The sequence below is a fragment of the Homo sapiens genome, chromosome 16 (genome assembly GCF_000001405.40).
Source record: "Homo sapiens chromosome 16, GRCh38.p14 Primary Assembly".
Classification (NCBI taxonomy): domain Eukaryota; kingdom Metazoa; phylum Chordata; class Mammalia; order Primates; family Hominidae; genus Homo; species Homo sapiens.
The window spans coordinates 64900011-64918896 of record NC_000016.10 but is presented as its reverse complement, the minus strand read 5'-3'; the positions used below and the strand labels follow the sequence as shown (position 1 = coordinate 64918896).

The 18886-nt window shown below is 38.6% G+C and overlaps 2 long non-coding RNA genes across 3 annotated transcripts in view; one reads left to right on the top strand and one right to left on the bottom strand.

Moving 5' to 3' along the window:
- Window positions 1–2615: 2615 nt before the first annotated feature.
- On the bottom strand, window positions 2616–14098 carry LOC105371313 (uncharacterized). Its single transcript, XR_933677.2, has 3 exons — window positions 14065–14098; window positions 10348–10429; window positions 2616–3032 (listed from the first exon to the last, which is right to left on the bottom strand). It is a non-coding gene; the product is annotated as an uncharacterized LOC105371313 (long non-coding RNA).
- Window positions 8360–18886, top strand: part of LOC124903779 (uncharacterized) — a 27818-nt gene continuing 17291 nt past the window's right edge. Inside the window, exon 1 of one of the 2 annotated variants that reach the window (XR_007065223.1) lies at window positions 8360–8480. This is a non-coding gene — a long non-coding RNA (uncharacterized LOC124903779). Of the gene's footprint in view, window positions 8525–18886 lie in introns of both variants that reach the window. The other variant, XR_007065222.1, reaches the window with a different exon arrangement.

Sequence of the window (18886 nt, the reverse complement as noted above, 5' to 3'; positions counted from 1 at the left end):
AAAGTAATCAAGAAGGAAGATTAGCTGGGAGGGTCATGGAAGGAGAGGGTGAAGTTAGTGGTTCAGTTTACAGTGCAACTTTGCTTTCTCTTTGGTCATGATAAAGACGTAATTGACATGGAGATTTTCTGAAGCCATTAATGAGGAGATAGTAAAGAGAACTGTTATAGCCAAATGCGGATAAGGCTGAAGTCATCCCACATGTGGGGAGATGAGATTGAACAACTCATTTTTGAGAAGTGAGCTAGTGTCTGTGTACGTGATAGCATCTACTGGGGGTCCTAACCAGACCACTCTCCTGCAGGTGGTGCTGGGGATGGGGGAGAGCGTTTCTGAAGGGGAATGAGCACTCCAGCTGTCAGTCATCCTGGGAAGATGTGATCTTGGGTGGGAAAGAACTGGGTTGAGGAACCTGGCTTGTTTCTGTAGAGGCAAGTTAGTGTGGCCTATGTCCCCAGGAGGAGAAACATAGGTAGTATTCTCTTCTACACTAATTAGATTTTTAGCACAATCTTCACAAACATTGAGAGGCATATCTCAGTGAGCCTTCGTAGATTTCAGAAAAGGGCACATTCCAGGAAAGGAAGAAAGGAAGACAGAGGACAGCATAGGACTGGCATGCATGGAGTCATCATCTTGACATGACCGACTCCTTAAGAGTCACTGTTGGAGAGTGAGCAGAAGTCTTCAGAATGAGGAGGTACAGGAAAGGGCATGGGATCTGCTCCTGCACATACCTGATGCATCACCTTGGGGACCACTCAGGAAGAGCTGGTGATTCCATTAGACATGGTCAATTTCCAAACATAAAGGATGGAAGAAATAGTTGCCACTGTAACTCGTGTTCCATAGCAACGCCATAAGGACAAAATGAATTGCTTTATTCAGGTTTTTCTCCTCCTCCTGCTACAGGATTTTTACATATGTAGATTTAGTACTTCATCACATTTGCCTTATAGATTCATTCTGTATTCATGAATATTATCATGTGAAGAGATTATTTATATATAATTTGTATAAACATAAGTATTAAATCCTGGGTCAGGAAAGCCAGAATTGGCTGATATGGTTTGGCTGTGTCCCCACCCAAATCTCATCTTGAATTGTAGCTCCCATAATTCCCATGTGTTGCAGGAGGGGCCTGGTGGGAGATAATTGAATCATGGGGGTGGTTTTCCCTTGTACTGTTCTCATGGTAGTGATAAGTCTCATAAGATCTGATGGTTTTATAAGGGGAATCCCCTTTCACTTGGCTGTCATTCTCTCCTTGCCTCCCGCCATGTGAGACCTGGCTTTGCTCCTCCTCGCCTTCCACCATGATTGTGAGGTCTCCCAGCCACTATGAGTTCATTAAGCCTCTTTTTCTCTATAAATTACCCAGTCTCAGGTATGTCTTTATTAGCAGCATGACAACAGACTAATACACTGGCCATCTATAAAGAAAAGTTTAAAGAAAATAAAAAAACTTAAAGAGATAGAAATTGACCCCTCGTTGGCTGGGCGCGGTGGCTCACGCCTGTAATCCCAGCACTTTGGGAGGCTGAGGCAGGTGGATCACGAGGTCAGGAGATCGAGACCATCCTGGCCAACACAGTAAAACCCCGTCTCTACTAAAAATACAAAAAATTAGCCAGACGTGATGGTGGGTGCCTGTAGTCCCAGCTACTCGGGAGGCTGAGGCAGGAGAAGGGTGTGAACCCCAGAGGTGGAACTTGCAGTCAGCCTAGATGGTGCCACTGCACTCCACTCTGGGCTATAGAGCAAGACTCCATCTCACAGAAAAAAGAAAGAAAAAGAAAAGAAATTGACCCCTCATCTCTTGTAAGAAAATTTTAAAAAGTAAAATATAAATTGTATAAAATGAATTAATTAAGATGCTAAGGATGTAGAAATGCTAGAGATCTGAACACATTTACAAAGTAAAGGGAAAACATTTTATTAAAAGGTTTATACATAGCCTTTGGATGTGGTTGATATTATAGGTGATTGAATCATGTTATTTAATGTTGACCTGATACATTCACTGCTAATTAAATATGTTTAAAATTAAAGCAAATTATCTGGAAGTGGAGGGACAAAGGCAAACTTGAAGAACAAAGACTTTTCAAAACATCAGAAAGACTGACATGATTTAAGTGTGTGTTGGGGAGACAGTGCAATCCATTTAGGGGGCAAAATATACCTTATGAAGATGAGAAGGAGAACACTTGAAGGAAAAACATAACTCCAATAATGCAAGGTTTTTAAAAATTAATAACACCTTTATTATAGTTCATGTTGTTAAGATAATAAATATAAATATGTAATATAAAAATAAGCTTTTTAAATAAAAACATTTTCAGGATGCAGTTAAATGCCATAAAATTTCACAAAACGTATGACATTCATTTGAGAAGTTGCTATCATTAATTACTTACATAATTTAGGTAAACTTAACTACCAGATGGACTGTTCCCTCTATCAGGAGAGTATTTTCTATATCTGCATGAACAAATGCCACCAATTTTCAGTTATGTTCCAAATCATAGACTCCCTCCTTGATCAGCAGTACTTTATATTTCCATGTCACTTGGCACGTAATTACATTTTTTTTTTTAATTTAGAGTCAGCTTCTCCTCTGGAGACCCTAATTTAGTGTTTTTGTATTTAGTGAGTGTTTGGTAAACACAGGCCAAATGAAAGCAGGAGAAAACCTTGTCATTTCAAAGAGTTTCTCATGAATTTCAGCTTCAGTAATGTATCAGTTGTGAAAGTTCCATTTGCAAATTTAAACTGAAGTACAATTACCTTGATCTCCTTCAGTTTCGATATTTGATAGCCCTGTGAATCAAACTGAAAATAAATAACCCCACTGGTGGGCTTTGATTGACACAGCCCATCTATTCTGGGCAAAGTTCTGTGCTCAGCATGGAGATGGCTGAATCAATAGAACACTAAAGCTTCAAGCCCATCTTGGAGATGTTTGAATGCCCAAATGGAAATGTTGACCTTTTCTTGTTGGAAACTCAGTCCTCCATTTAATGAAGTTGCAGCTGCAAAGAAAAGTACATGGTTAGCTGGACTCAGAAAATACTTTTGTACTGATTGGATGTTGATAGTTCCTGATATCAAATCCCTTACCCTGATGCTGTTATTCCAGGCCATCATTAGAGGGCATGACCTTGAATGGCCTGGTCTGTAGCTCCTATTTCAAGCAGAGGCAAGAGAAATAAGATTTCAGGAAGACCAGCTAAGAGACACATCATCCTTTCGTTCTCCAAGGGACTGAAATGTATATCAAACAAGACATAGAAAAGCTCTAACCTGAGAGGTTGCAAAGGAGATTAAAAAACAACTTTCTGGCTTCCCTCAGCTCTCCAGGAAATTAAAAGGAAACTTGTTCCTGGAACACACTGATGTTAGAAATGGATGTGGAGGCATCACTTTCCCTGGGATAAGCGTGAGGTCCAGAGATTTTTTTTGTGAAAGCTTTGACATTTAGGGGAAAACCAGATTTCCTTGATATTTCCAGTTATGAAGAACATGGTGCCTTGAAAATCAGACACTTCACTTTGGGTTCCTAACTGTTGAAGTACCAGGGCTGGTGGCAGTTTCTGCATCTCATGAAATGGAGAGTTTACCACTCAGTGGGAATAAGCCCCTCTAATTCCTTTGAGTTGTTTCTGGGCAGAGAGATAGGCCTTTTTCCCTGACTTCAGAAGGCTGAAATAGTGTTTAAGTTCAGAAATTTAAGGAAATGGGATCTAGTTTGATATAAAGACTGTAGTTTTGTTTGTTTGTTTTTAAATGGTTAGATCAGAGGCATCCAATAATGAACTGAACCATCTTTGGAAGGAAAGGAATGAGTTGCTCACCCTCAGAGGCATTCAGACCTAAGTGTTCAGAAAGACTTTGTTAGAACTTTATCAAGATATTAAAGATGCTGGTGAGCAGGGAATGGTGAAGGCAGTGACCTGAGTGACCCTCAAGGCCCACTTCAACACTAGAGGCTAAAACTTAATTTCATCACCTATAAAATGGGGCTTTAGAAACATCCCTCCATCACAAAGCATCTGTGAGGATCACATGAGGCTGCATATATGCAGTGCCCAGGACAGTTCCACACCTACTGTGGGATCTCAAGTAAAGTTAGTGCTCTTCCTCTAAAGAATTCAGCTCTAACAGAAGCATTGCTGTGCCTGCAGTTCTGATTAAAATTTAAATATATACCTTGCTCCAAGATGTCTACCTGAAATGTCTTAGGAAAGAGGAGTTTTCATAAATATACATGCTTACAATGGTTATATACTGACATTTAAAAGCAATAATATTTGAACTGAGCAAGGAAAAAGGCTGGCACCCCAACGTGACTGCCCTGCATAATCACCTCGGCCCTTTTCTTGTTCACAAGGCAAGATTATGCACCCGAGCTCAGCACGGCACTGCTTGCTTTGCTTGCAGGTGAAATCTAAATCCAATGCCAGCCATTGATTTCTTATTGCTCTGTTTGTTTAATGTCACTGTCAGAAACTATGAATAAAAATCTCAATATTTTCTCTATAGCTCTCAAACCTAGACCTCTGATAGGCAGGAAATTCAGTCCTAAGAGGACAGTATCAAAATTAAGTCCTGACCAGAGACACAAGGTAATCACCCTTTGCTTTGATCCCTAAGGGATGGCTGTATTATGAAATTTCAATGTATCCAAAAAAGCCATATGCTTAACATATCTTTTGTCCACAAGTTAATGCATATATTTTATCTAATCCTAAATAAATCATCAAAAGGAAATACCTGAAACAAATTAAAATTTTTCTAAAACATGTTTGAATATTACAAGTCAAGTAATATTTTAAAGAATTAGAGGATGCTAGATCTTTTGGATATAAAAAGATATTATAGAGTAGCCAAAACTAACACAGTGTGGTACTTACATGAAATTAGATGGCTGGGTCAATGAGAGAGGGAAAATCCATATGTGCACTTACCCATATGGCTTCAAACTATCATTGTGTAATTGAATGGAAGGGGCCATTTTATAAATGGCATTTGTAAAATTAGCTAATCTTTGAGGGAATGAAAATTACAATAAATCCTTTGCATTTATCTACCAATATAAACCCCTGATGGATAAAGGGCTTATAATAAAATAATCTAAGCATAAAAAGTTAGAATAGAATTAACACTTTATGAGATCTTTGGATGAGGAAGTGCTTGTAAGTTTCAAAGTGATAAAAAACCTTAAAGGAAAAAATCTAAGAGTTTTTCTCTCATAAAATGAAAATTTTCTCTATAGTAAAATAAAAACAAAATTTAAAAGTTGGATTCAGAATAAAATGCTTAAAATCATCAGTGCGGGTGATGATATTTGATACCAGTAGAATTTGTACATATTTATAGTAAAAATTATCTCAGATTTTAATAGATATATTAGTAAAAAAAAAAGTCCCAAGTAAGAAAGAGTAAAGAGTAATCAGAAATGAGGAAAGAAATGGAATGTTTTCATCTGCTATGATAACCAAAACCAGAGAGATGGAGTAATTGGATATATTAAATTTGTGGTGAATTGGTAAATTGCTATGTATTGGGGATGATGGAAATCCATAGAAACACTTCAGAAAGTAATATATAAAGCATCAAGAGCCGTAAAAATTTCCAAGTCTTTTTAAGCACTAATCAAATAATTAATATTAAGGAAATTATTTAATGGATTAAAATTGTAACATCTCCAGTTGTCCTTCGGAGCATTGTCAGAAACTTAAAAAGCAGAATAAGCAGGGAAATGTAAGCACATTTACAATACCGTCCAGTTTAGAAGGAGGCTCAGCTCAAGCCATTGAACATATATGTATGCGGCAGGTTTCAAGAGGAAGACTTTCTAACACTGACACTCTGAGATATTTGACACAGTTTTTGGAGGGAGCCTTGGGAATTTAAATGATATAACCTAATTATTTTCAGCCCTGGCTACACATCAGTAGAAAAAAGGAATTTTTTTTTTGTAAATACTGATGCCTGGGTTCCACTTTTAACGAATTAAATCAGAATTTCTTGGGAATGTAGCCTAGGATTCTGTAACCCTTAAAAGTCCCCCAAGTGATTTTAATGTGCAGCCAAGAGTAAGATCCTATGTCAAGTAAGCATGCAAATATCATCAGATCTCTTCCTATAAAATCCCAGGAATATAGGGCTCCACCACCCCCGTCCCTCTTTATCTTCTAAACTAGAGACAAAACCAGACTACCTTGGGCCTCAGTAAAGTTAAATAAGAGAAAATATTTATTTTGTATTTATTTATTTATTTACACATTTGTGTGTTTATAATCTTAAAATTAATACTACATGGATTATCACATTTTCTCATTATAAATTTTTCTGAATATAAAATGAACTTATTCTCATATTGAAGTTGAAAAAACATGAATGTAGAACTCGAAATCACCTGAAATTTCTCAGCTTGAAAAAACATCTATAAATCTTTTGGTAGATTGTTTTTTCCCTCTATCTCTTTTTGTGTGTGAGTTTGTATGCATTTTTTTCACAATTAATATTATGCTATGTATAAAGTTTTCATAGTGTGTTTTCTTCATCACATCTTTTATTTCGTCTTTCCCCATATTAATAAGAAATTCTAATAAATAATTTGAATTGCTTTCTATTGGTTGGTAGGTTTTTTTCATTTTAAAATTTTTAATTATGTGAAGTGAAATAATGAAATTGCCTGCCTTGTATATGGTTACGTATAAATAAGAATAATAGTATTTAATCATACTTACCCTCAGGGAGACTATGAGGTTCAGGTATGATTAAACATTACTATCCATCTGTATTTATTAATATATAGAGATATTAATAATGTATTACTCATCAGAAAATTAGAGTACAAAACATGTATAATCTGTTCCAATCACAGAAAATATGCATAATATATTCTTGTAACTGCATAAGAAAATTGTGAAAAGATGTGCAACAGAAATATACAGTACACTCCATTCCGAATGATGTTGAATCACGAATGATTTTTTAAATGCTTTTCAATATGTTTTAGAATTTGAAATAAATATGTCTTATTTATATAACATAAATAAAAGCATGACTAATAAAATAAAAAGAAAAAGAACATTTTATTGAGAAAAGGTGGTAAATGGAAAACAACCACTTATTTACCTGCTACTAAATTCCAAAGATCTATTAATAAATACAGATAGAACATCATTGTCATTGTAAAGCCTGAATAATATTACATCATAGGAATGTACCATTATTAACCTAAAGTTTCTTTTTCAACATTTTCAGAATTTGAAAAGATTATGAGATAATAAAAAACTGCCTATCTCTATATATTTATCCAAGGATTGATGGACGAATGGGTGGATGGCTGGATGGGTGAATTGACAGGTTTTTTTGAGATAGTGTCTCACTCTGTCATCCAGGCTGGAGTGCAGTGGTGCAATCTCAGCTCACTGCAGCCTCGACCTCCCGGGTTCAAGTGATCCTCCCATCTCAGCCTCCCTAGTAGCTGGAACCACAGGGGCATACCACCATGCCCAGCTAAATTTTTTTTTTTTTTTTTGGTTGAGATGGGGTTTTGCCATGTTGCCCAGGCTGTTCTCAAACTCCTGAGCTTAAGTGATCTGCTTATCTTAGCCTCCCAAGGTGCTGGAATTACAGGTGTGTGCCATAACACATGGCATTATTTATTTAATATAAATCCCTAGGGGTTCTATAGGCATTCTGTGCATTTTTAAATTTTTCAACCATGTTATTAACATACTTGGGTAGAATAATTTTTGCTCCTGTATGGTACATGAGAGTGCCTGTTTCCCCACACCCTTACCAGCACTAGGTATTATGTTTCTTCTGCATGCATACATGCTTTCATTCATTCACTTATTCATTCATTCATTCATATTTGTCAACTGAGAATCGTATCATATCATATTTTGATTTTCATGCATTTGATTACTAGGGAAGCTGAGAATAATCTCATAGACTTGGTAGCCAATGTATTTTTTATTTTGTGCTCAGAGTGTCTGTGTGTCTCCCAACAATACTGTATTGCTCCTCGAAAGCTTAATTTTGCATTTCTATCTCTGTGTTGCTACTAGAATCTCAGACGTTCTGTTTATAACAATAAGAACCGAAGGCTCTCAGTGGTAGCTTTAGAAAGACTCAGAAATCATCTAAATATATGTAAGGCAGTAAGGGAGCCTGACGCAGCCAAATGTCTGATCCTTGTCTCCGCGTTTTTTTGCCTGAGAATCCTGCCGCTGGTGAGCCAAATTCCCTTGGGAAGAGAGAGCTTGTCTGATGTGTTTCCTGTCTAGCAGCTGTGTGGGTGTTGGCTCAGCTACACCAGAGCCCCGCTGGGATCAGGATTTCTCCTTTCTTAGCTGGTTCCTGCTGCTAGGGCATGAGAGGCTGGGAAGGGAGGACTGGGCTGTCTCCTGCTTCAGCCAACAAAGTGAATCAGACAAAGAATGAGGCTGAACTCATCAAGGGTGAGTGGGAGAGAGCATCATCAAGGTCTTTTAAATCAGACAGGGTAAGACGCCATCCTTATGGAGAGAAAGCTGGGCTACTGGTTACGAAACTTGTATGCATTGCAGTATGTGATGATGGGCTTTCCATCTGCCATTCCACCTTTGCAACTTGACTGGCAAGAGGGGTGTATTACAGCTGCCACTCAGAGGTAGTGAAACAGCCTGGAGCTTAGCTGTTTCTTCCTCCCATGATTCTGATTCTTTCTGGCTTCTAACTGCCCTGTTTCCCCAAACCCTTGCAGATTAGGAACCCCATAAGGAATTCACTGGTGTCTTCCGCTTATGTGTGAGACAGCACCTGTCTCCTCATGCTTTCAGCCCCTGTGGTTGGGAGCCAGGGGTTCTTCCCAAGCCAGAAGCAGCAGGTTAACAGAAAGGCTTGGGGGCTGTGTCCTGCATGGCTTTCCTCACTTATTCTATGGGATTCGCCGGAAATGAGCCTTACCTTTCCCCTCAGTGGGACTTGAGGGTAAAGTAAAAATGATCAATTTGTTCCCCCTTAGTCTTTATATTACTTGTTGTGTGTTCTTAAGAGATTTTCTTACTACTCTGTGCCTCTGGATACGGAAGCTCAGAACACACAAAGCGTAGATAACTAAGCCACCTTCACAAACTAGTCTAGAACTAATTTCACTTCTCCCCTTCCCAAATCCTATAGACCCATGGAAGGTTCAGCTGAGATTTAAAACCAAACAGCTGAAATTAAAAAAAAATTCAAAAGCAAAATAAAAACACACTCAGTTGTTTTGTTTCAACTTTCTGCTGCGGTGAATTTTTTTTTGTTGAGGCCCTGTTTTCTTTGAGCAAAACTACTCCCTAAAATCAGTCTTTGCTTTTTCATATCTCATGTGGCACATATAAAAGAGTATGTTTTGCTTTTTTGTGGGGGGTCATAGTAAGTATCTTAAGCACTCCTCTGCTATAAAAATTATTCCCTTGTATTGAAATTTGCCTGTCTCACTGCCTATATTTTCCTATAAACTAGGAACTCTTCAGAGAATATACTACCTTGTTTTGATCGTTGTAACTCCAACACCTTGTACAGTGCCTAACTTGTAAATAAATAATGTAAATTTAATGGTGAATGTAATGTACTGTAAGTTTAATGGTGAATGAATAAATGAATGAATGAATAAATGGTGAATGACTAAATGAATGGTGAATGAATAAATGAAGATATACTGCTTGTAGTTCCAGTCCTCTGACAATAACATTAAAGGTCAACATTGTCTCTCTCTCTGACAAATCAGTAATCTCAAACAGACAAGTTCTAGAAGCTACATGTGAGGTCTAGAAGCTCACATGCAGCAGTGATCTTTAAGATATCCCATGAACAGAACCTTTCTTTTCATAGATGCCTGAGAATAATGGGGAGAAGCAGCTAAAGTCACACAAAGCAATAGAGCAATAGGATAGATAGATTGATAGATAGATACTATATTTATATATCTATATCAACAAACATATATACCTATTAATATAAATATATCATGTACTTTCATTCTTATGCGTGTGTGTATATGCAGTTTTAAAAAAACTGATTCACGTGAATTTTAAAGAATATTCATTGAGTGCTAACCTTCCTCCCCTTCTGACTGTCACCCTCCATACTTTGCTAACCTTTGAGGATCACTGATTTTAGAGAGTAGCTATGAGGAGACTAGGATAGATGTCAGGGAGGCCAACCAGAGGCCCTTTTTGGTCATCCAGGATGAAAGTGCCAAAGCCTAGGCCAAGGAAGCATGGAGAGACTTTCTGGGAGGTAAAAATGAGGAGACATTCTTGTTCCTCCTCTTGGAGATGATCATCAATTACAGCACCGTACCTGGATTGAGGTAAACTCTTTATGAGAGCCCAGAGAGACCTTCCTTGATGAGGATATCTGCCACAGAGAATATTGTTTCCAGCTATTGAAAACATAGGATTGCAATTTATCAAAAAGCTCTGTAATTTGAGGTGCTCCTGCATTAAGTAGACGACCCCCCACACACACACACACAAATGAGCAGAACCAAAGGCTGGTGACACAAAACAGTCCTTCTTCTGATAAATGAAATCATGCATTTCAGAATAAATCCCCAAGTGCCTCCTGCCCTAGCTATCTGTAGTTCTTTCTCTTATATCCAGTGTCCCCTTTAACACGATCTGTCTTGTCTCTTGTTTGCCTTATAGTACTACAAAATGATCTTTCCCTCTCTTCCTGGCCTTAGCGAGCCAGCTCACTGCCCACGGAGGAGTCTCTGTGCCTTGTGTTTTTTCAGTGGATTTCCCACATGCTTCTGACCTTGACCTCATTCTTCTAAAACAAGGCTTTCTGGCAGCCTTGGCTAGGCTCTTATCTCTCCCATCCATGCAAGGGTGTCAGAATGTCCTAGGGAATCATAAATCAACGGCCCTGTCCTGACATCAGCTCTTTAGAAGCTCTTTGGGTGCCTTGAGTGCATTTGGAGGTCTGGACAGACCGCACTGGGCAGCTTTTATCCACAGACCCTTCCCAAAGCAGTGAGCTGATTGATGGCAAAATGGAGAATTAAACATTTATGCATGGAAGACCAGAAAGATGCAGGAAGAAAAGGGTTTAAGTGCATATGCTTGCAGGACAGACATTATCCTTGTCAGCGCTGTGGTTATGCTGAACACCCATTAGTCTCATCGCTATAGACCTTTGAGGAAAATCACCTCCAAGTGACATCTATCTCAGGGTCCACGAATCTTTTTAGGTATTTGAGCTGCCTCTGCATCCAAACAATTGCAAAGGACCTGTGCTCACTTTCTCTTCCTTTAAGATTTGTTGAGTAGGCAAGGCGTGGTGGCTCACCCTGGTAATCCCAGCACTTTGGGAGGTGGAGGCAGGCAGGTCACCAGGTCAGGAGTTTGGGACCAGCCTGGCCAACATGGTGAAACCCCATCTCTACTAAAAATACAAAACATTAGCTGAGCATGGTGGCAAACACCTGTCATCCCAGCTACTTGGGAGGCTGAGGCAGGAGAATCGCTTGAACCCAGGAGGCAGAGGTTGCAGTGAGCTGAGATCGTATCACTGCACTCCAGCCTGGGTGACAGTGCGAGACTCCGTGTCAAAAAAAAAAATCGTTGAGTAATATCTTGCCTAGTTTATTTACTGATCCCTTCTCTCCTACTTTGACTCTCTAATGAATTGTTTCTACCTGAAAAAAGTAGAGAACTTACCACCTCACTCCAGAGAAGACTCTGAGAGTCAGGGGAGGAAAGAGGATGCCCCACCTTGTCTTGTGGGATGTGTCATGAACAAGATGGGTCACACTCATTCTAGACAAGGTTGGAACTGGAAAGGCAAAATTAATCTCAATAGAAGTAAGAATTTTTTTAACAATATTACTGCTGCCAGGCAAGTAAAATGCACAGTCTTGGGAGACAATAGGTTCCCCTATACCTGGATGTTTCATAGAAAACTGTCTTAGTAACAACAGAATGGAGGAGTTCCTGTTTTTAATAATGTGCTGGGTGATGTTTAAGGGCCCTCCAAAATCTAAGATTCTAGGAATTTCTTCTGCCTCCATGACACTCTCCAGCTTTCCCTTCATAACATTTTGGGATCAATACTCAAAGGATTTGTTAGCCTTCCATATCTTACAAAAACTGTGGGTGATGGCTGGGTGAAGTGACTCACATCTGTAATTCCAGTGTTGGGGAGACTGATGAGCCCAGGAGTTCAAGACCAGCCTAGGCAACATAGCAAGATCCCATCTTTACCAAAAATAAAAATAAAAATAAAAATTAGCCAGGCCTGGTGGCACATGTATTAATCTGAGCTGCTTGGGAGGCTGAGGTGGGAGTATTGTTTGAGCCCAGGAATTGGAGGTTACAGGAAGTTATGATTGTTCCACTGTATGCCATCCTAGGTGACAGAGTGAAAACCTGACTCTAAAACAAAACAAAACAAAATGGCAGATGATTCCTTCATGGAATTTCATTAGGGAATCCCATTCTTCTGTAATATAGTGCACTTTTTGGATTCCATTTCTTACATGAAGTCCAAAGTAGAACCTATGGCCTTGGATGTCTAATTCCTCAGATTTCTAAATTGATTTAGAAAGGTTACCTGCAAAGTTAAGTAACTGAATTATACTAAGTGGGGAGGTACATTGCATACTTTTTAATAATGACCCGTTAACTTCCTAAGCGTGACAAGAACTTTTCTGATGACATGGCAGCATTCTCAGCCATGGTAAAGAGTGAGGGCATGTTTGAATCCTTCTGTGCCTCCACTCCTGCCTCTGTTTCTCTTTGTCTCTCTGTCTCTTTTTCTATTTCTCTGCTTTCTCTCTTTCTATTAAACTGGGTCATCCTCCTAAATATGTTACATGAGTGCAGATACCTGGGTACCTTATGTAGCCAGGACGGTATGAGAAGAATCAACCAGAGAACAGGCAAGTGATTGAAAAAGCATTTGGGACTTAGAGCCACAAGAGTCAGCACAAGGTGTGAGCACAGGCTTTGAGGTCTGTTGAAAATAAATTTTAATTCTGGTTTGACCTCTCTATCTCTGAATCTGTTACCTCATTAATAAAATAGAGGTAATTATAAGATTTTAAAAATAGATTAATACCAATAGATACTAGTAGATCCTACAACAATACCTGGGAATAATTGAGATAGGCTAGGTAAGTACTAATATATTATATTACTGAGATAATAACCATCTGCCTTGGTCCATTTTGGCTGCCACAGCAAAATGCCACAGAGTGGGTACCTTAGAAACAAAAACTTATTTCTCACAGTTTTTTTTGTTGTTGTTGTTGCTTTTGTTTTTTTTTTCAGACAGGGCCTTGCTCTGTCACCCAGGCGGGAGTGCAGTGGTGCAATCTCTGCTCACTACAACCCCCACCTCCCAGGTTCAAGGGATTCTCCTGCCTCAGCCTCAGGAGTAGCTGGGATGACAGGCATGCACCACCATGTCTGGCCAATTTTTGTATTTTTAGTAGACAGGGTTTCATCATGTTGGTCAGGCTGGTCTTGAACTGCTGACCTCAGGTGATCACCTGCCTAGGCCTCCCAAAGTGCTAAGATTACAGGTGTGAGCCACCACGCCTGACCTGTTTCTCACAGTTCTACAGGCTGAGAAACCAATCAAGGTGCTGACAAATTTGGTACGTTGAGGGCCATCTTGCGGTTCATAGAAGGCATCTTTCTGCTGCTTTCTCACACTGCGGAAGGAGAAAACAAGCTCCTACAGGCCTCCCTTATAATGGCACTAATCCTATTCAGGAGGGCTCCACCCTCAGTGTGTTTCTCTTGTGGTTCTAAATTCAAATGCTTTTCCAATAATGACCTCCATGGACCTCGCCTCTTAATACTATCACATTGGGGATTAGGTTTCAAAATATGAATTTTGAGGACAGCATAAATATTCAGTCTACAGCACTCTCTTAAAAAGAAAAACTACAGAGGATATTTCTTTAGCTAAAGGGCCCATGAGTGTCATACATTTTATAGAATGGTGAGCTATTACAAAAGAAGTGAGCTTACAGAACCAACATATAGGAAATTGGAAGGTGCTCACATTTTCAGGAAGAGTGGTTTTCTGGAACTCAGCAATTCTCTGGGTGGGCATGGTGAATTGGTGATATAGGCTGACCTAGAATACAAGATTGGGAAGAATTTCTTGTTGATAGAATTTGACTTTTACATAAAAGAAGAGCTTAGCTGTCTTTGGAGAAAGATGTATCTTTACAAGTCTGAAGTCAAGTGCCCCGGTAGGTTAAGGATCCTGGGTAGGCAGGAGGAGTAAACGGTACTGGTCCTGGATACACATCAGTTCCTCTGCTGGGGTCTTAGACATATCTTCTTGTGTCCACAATTCTGAGAAGTAGGTGCTATTTTTAATGAAGATTATTCTATTTTCAGGAAGCATCTCGGTCAATTTTATTTTAGTTTTTTAAATTATTGTTATTTTTTAAGAATGGATCTTTCTCTGTCATCCAGGCTGGAGTGCAGTGGTGCAATCATAGTTCACTGCAGCCTTGAGTTCCTGGGCTCAAACCATCCTCCCATCTCGGCCTCCCAACATGCTGAGATTACAGACATGAGCTGCTACACCTGGGTCACATCGCATTTTAGAGCAAATGATTTTCTCAAAATGACTAGCTGTTTTGTGACATATGCCTTCCTCTTACCTGCCCTAAAATACTTCTATCGAATTCCCTTGTCCTGATGTACTGCAGGTTGGTTCATTCTAACCCAAAGTTTGTAGTGTGTGACCTTACCTCCTTTTATCCTTTGCTTTTTAAGATAAACTTTGTCATTCTTATCAGGCGTGTGCACACACTTATGCATCCACATTCCTTATAGAAGTAATCACATTGCATCATAACTGTCAGTTTGTCTTTCTACTCTTTGAGAGCATAAACAAGGTCTAATCATCTCTGTATATTCATGTCTTAGCATAGTTGTTACATAGAGGACATATTCAAATTGCTGAATATTCGAATTGCTGAATGAATAACTGAATAAATACCTTCTATAATAACTTCTCTTTCTGGATCTTCTTGGCAATCATGATCATCTTTGGTGTCAGGCATACTGGGTGTGGAATAACAGGATTACGAAGTCCACCATTCTATACCAGAGTGAGATTATCTTTTTGATCTTTTTAAGAATATTTTTACAAGGAAGAAATTTCAGATTAATGGGATGCTTTTCTGCCAGCTATGTACATCCTTTAAAAAATAATAGTTTATAAAATTTTCATCCCAGTGCTAGCCAAGCATCTTAAGACACAATCAAGTATGAAGGCATCTCTTGATGATAATGAGGGTGGGTGAAGTGGGAAAACAGTGTTTCTGTAACTCAGGCTGTCTCCAGGATAAAGTATTATCACCCTTCTCGGAAACTACATCAACAGCATTACCATGGGGCCCCCGTGAGACATCTACCCCTACTCATGCACATGCATTATGAAGGGTCTACGCCATTCTGCTGTCAGATGGGCTGGTGGTTAGCAAGTTCAGTCTTAGTGAAAATAACTCTTTGGTATGTGATCTCATATACAAATAGCTATTTATGTCGGGCTTTCCTCTACCTCAACCCATCAAACCACACTCCTTAGAGATTTCTCACTGGGTTTTAATGTATTAGCAAAGCAGAAGATATCACGTGGTAAAGGAATTTTCTACCTTATGCTGCCATCTGTCGTAATATATGTCTTTCCCTTATTATATGTATCAAGCTACTCAGATACATATGGCTGCATTATATTGGCATTTGTCTTTCTTGAAGAGTTTGGAGACAAATGATACATTTGGAAGATACTTTTAAATAAGGTGTATGAATTCAAAGACAAGGATGGGTATAGCAATAATGACCAAGGGCTTGGTTTCTTCTCTTCTCTTGCTGGAATTTCAAATTGAAAAGACCAAAATTGACATTTCTGTTTCAGAATTACACATGTAGTTCATATAGGGCTAATTCAGAGGGGTGATGAGCTTTGCAATCCTGATCAGTCCTGGTATTCAATCTTACCTTTCTCTCCAACTCTAACAGTGCCTAGTATATATGTTCAATAAATAATAAGTAGTGTTATCACTATTGCCAGGTCACTTCAAAGCTTGGTGACACAGCCATGTGTCTCAGCCATCCCATACTCCACCTGACTTACATATTCACCCCACTTGGGATGATTATTTGCACTTGGGTCCAATTGTCTGCTGTGGTACTGGAGCTGAGCTCTTTGAACTCATGTTTCATATTGCAAGGCAAAATGTGCTTTACGTGCTTCCACTCTTGCTTGCCTCTCTAGTCTCAACTATGTCTTTCCCTTCTCCTAGTGTCTTCACCATCGTAGAGAACCATCTACAGGCAGGGTGATCTTAGGGAATTTACTTAATTTCTCTGAGCTTCCTTACCTGTATGATGATAATGATCATGGTACCTACCCGAAGGCTGTTGGAAGACTAGTTGAGTACATTCATACAAAGTTCTTATTAGCACTTTATTAATAAGTTTTCTTTAGTGAAGATAAACTGATTGGGCAAAGAGGAAAGACCAAGTAGGAGGGAGGGAATTACAATAGAGATGTTGGGAGTACAGATGGAGCAGTGGCAGAAGTGAACACATCTAATGTGTTCAGCTTACTATAAGGTACAGGACTAAACATTTTACCTGAATTGATGTCCTAATATATGAGAGAACCATGAAATGTAAGTAGCCCCATTTTGAAAATGAGGAGACTATATTTCAGAGAGATAAAAACAAAACAAAAAATTTATTTGATTGGTAGAGCCAGAATTTGTTCAAGATTTGTGTGAGGCAGAAATATTGGTCTATATTTGAAACAGAAAAGAAACAGAAAAAATAGTAGTTTGCACCATGTTTATAGGTTACCAGATGCTCTCAAACATATTGTCTAATTTGCTTTCAAATCATACAGTAAAATCAAAAGAACTATCTTTAGTTTGAAATAAATAGGAAAATTATTATTTAAGGAGACAATGAACTTAAAACCAGGTAAAATGGTTCATTCATGTAATGGAGTACCATGCAGCCATTTTTTTTTAGAGATGATATAAAGCCTATTTTGACATTGAAAAATGTGCTCTGAATCTTGTTGATTAACATAAGCAGGTTAGAGAGTCATATATGTGGTATGATCAAATATTTATGAATGAGCGTGCATTGCTTCCATAATCAGAAAAAAATAATTATGCTATTTGAATTTTGAAAATAAAAATAAACTCATTCCACTTTTTAGACAAAACAAAAACAAAATCTCTGATTGGATTAGTACCTATCTTTTTGTAAAATTTGAGAGTCATATATGTGGTATGATCAAATATTTATGAATGAGCATGCATTGCTTCCATAATCAGAAAAAATAATTATGCTATTTGAATTTTGAAAATAAAAATAAACTCATTCCACTTTTTAGACAAAACAAAAAATCTCCAATTGGATTAGCACCTATCTTTTTGTAAAATTTGAGTTTAAGCCTGTAATGTCTTTTTCTGGGGGGTGGAGGGGGATTAGCAGCTCTGTAATAACAGCCTCTCCTACTAACCTGTAAGCTCCATGAAGTCAATGGTCATGTCTATCTCTTTATCCCCAGCACCTAGAACGGAAGCTAGCACAGAGGACATTCTCAAGAGAAAAGGTTTCCTTTATGTGTTTGTGTTAAAACTGGATGTGTGTGTGTGTATATATATATGTGTGTGTCCATATATGTGTGTGTGTGTACCTTTATATGTATATATATATATAAAATGTGTATTGAAAGCCTCATCATTCAGACTCATCTGTCCTCAGATTTCTCAGCTTTGTAAAGTGCCAGGTAAGTGTTCTTTATTCTTTCATCTGCAGTCCATGGGAAACTTTAGCTCATGTCATAATGTGTTACTTTTGAAGGTTCTACTTAAAATGAATAGATGATAGAAATTAACCACAGTCCTTAGTTCCCTTCTCCCTCACTGCAGAGAAGAAGCCTTGCTGCTACTGTGCCAATGCAGATGACAGAGCTGAATGTCCCATCACTGTGGGGGTAAGGGGGCCACATTCTCTCTATGCTTCCAACTTGTGATGAGAGAATTCCTGGAGTCCCCAACATCAGATTTCAGAGCCAATATCTGTCTTGCTCAACTGGACCACACCCTTGCTGTTTGCTAAGCCTGTTCTCCTTACTCATCAATTTGATGCGTCTTCCCTGTGCTTCCAAAGTGAGTGTGAATGAACTTTGTTTTCACTATTCTTGTGCGACTTCATTCTCTTATTAACAAACTGGAAAAGTCCTTTCAAAGAGATGTGCAAAGATAGAAACAAAACATAGGTAGGGCTTTTTACTCAGTGCAGCTAAAGTCAGTGGAACTGAGGGGAGAATATCAATCTTAGTCTAGAATGAAGCAAGAGATTGTATCTTACTAACAAATTGTAAGTAAGACCACACAGACACACAGACACACACACACACACACACTCCATCAAATGAGAGGAAGAATGTGACACCCTTGTAAATACAGCATGGATTATGTCAAGAGAAATAATTTAGTAGAAAGGCTGGGCAAAACGTAGAGCAAGAGTCAGAGGAGGTCTTTTATTTGATGCTATCAGGAACAGGCCTGGTAATTCAAAGGATCAGAATAAACAAGAAAAGCTAAGGGTAGGCCAAGCTGTTTCTAGCAATGTATTGCTGAAGACACATCTTTTTCCCTCACATCTGTTTTAGATATATGAAGCTTCCTAATTCAGAGACTTAAAATATTGGTGTTCAACTCTCATATCTTATTTCATTCCTCACCAGATTGCGGGGGAAAAAACAATAAGTAGTCTAGAGGGAGGTGTAGAAAAATTCTGCATTAGCATGCTTCTAAGATACTTTTAACTCTGTTTTATCTTTG